The sequence below is a fragment of the Homo sapiens genome, chromosome 12 (assembly GCF_000001405.40).
Source record: "Homo sapiens chromosome 12, GRCh38.p14 Primary Assembly".
Classification (NCBI taxonomy): Eukaryota; Metazoa; Chordata; class Mammalia; order Primates; family Hominidae; genus Homo; species Homo sapiens.
This window is the reverse complement of record NC_000012.12, coordinates 89,883,724-89,885,065: the sequence shown is the minus strand read 5'-3', so window position 1 is coordinate 89,885,065 and position 1,342 is coordinate 89,883,724. Positions and strand designations below refer to the sequence as shown.

At 36.4% G+C, this 1,342-nt stretch overlaps 1 annotated feature.

Moving 5' to 3' along the window:
* Positions 417-1,342: an enhancer, noted in NCBI's record as "OCT4-NANOG hESC enhancer chr12:90277501-90278426 (GRCh37/hg19 assembly coordinates)". NCBI's record gives its function as "activates a minimal SCP1, AML or CMV promoter by ChIP-STARR-seq in naive and primed H9 embryonic stem cells {active_cell/tissue: H9 hESC(naive and primed)}" and the evidence as "EXISTENCE:reporter gene assay evidence [ECO:0000049][PMID:30033119]".

Below are 1,342 nucleotides of genomic sequence, written 5' to 3'. Positions count from 1 at the left end.
ACCAAAAAAAATACTTCTCCCAATATTATCTAACACCTGATTAGAAATGGTAAATAAAAGAAATATTTAAATGACTTCTATTTTGACAGTTAATAGACTTGCATTCTACATCCTCAGAAGAAACAAATTTCTTGGCTACGTTTTTGCACTAAAGTAGTTAAATCCGAAAGCCAATGTTTCTCTGAGATCTTATATATCATCAGTTGGGCTAAGATCAAATATCCTCTTATTCCCTCTCTTCAATTGTGTTCTGGATTGCAAAAAAGTTTAAGCTCCAAATGAAAAGGAATAGATAAGTATTTTGCAGCATAAAAATAAACTGCCTGTTAAGTATGATCTCTTAAGGAGTATAAAATTTCTATAAGCTGGTATACATGTTGCATGTGGCTCAAAGACTATCCTGCATTTTCCACCAGTCTGGTTTTTAACTGGCTGTTCCAAGGCCATAAACTCTCAGAGGGAAGCTCTCTGTAATTTGATATGGAATTTCATGATTTAGAGGCCCACGGCAGGAATGATGGAAAGGGAGTTTTCTCAACTCAAAGCTCCTATAGGGAGATCAAAGCTCATTATCTGAATCTTGGACTAGTTTATTTTACAAAGCCAGAAACTAGCATAAGCTTTGTTAACTCCTTCAATTTTATTCTTTGGGTGAAGAATTCTAAACACTTTCCAGAAAAGTATATTAAATGCCACTGGATGGAGGAAAAGAAAAGCTGAGTACATCCAATATGTTGGAGGACAAATAGTGGGAAATCAAAAGTTAGAAGATTAGCCTAGTTTTTCATAGAGACAATCCTTTAATCTTTCCCAGGAAATAAAAGGCTTCCAGTGAGGGGAAACAATGGACCTGAACAGCAGGAGTATTTGGGATGGGAGCCAGTGAGCAAGAGTCACTAACAGAGAGTGGTAATTTGGAATGAATTGCTGTTTTGTGTTGTGAAGCACCAGGACACAGCTGGTGTACTGGCTAACCTGAGGATTTGTAGTGACTGCATTGAAATGGTAATGAAGTTTTTATTTTATGATTGCAGATGTTTGTAGATTATTGTTATTAAGCTTATTAGAGTAACAGTACAAATATGAGATTTTTGTTTACTTGGTATCTTATTTATAAGAGCTTTGTTAAAGTCTTTTTAACCCAAGTCAAGAAAATAAAAGGCATGCAGTAACCAAAATGTGGTAAACCATCAGGCAATCCTTTGTGTGTGTGTGTGTGTGTGCGTGCGTGTGTGTGTGCGTGCGTGTGTGTGTATGTGTGTGTAGGGTTCTCCTACCTTTGAGGCAAATCTGAAAGTTTCCATGATTGTTGTGCCTTAAGTAATATTGTCAAGTGATCTGC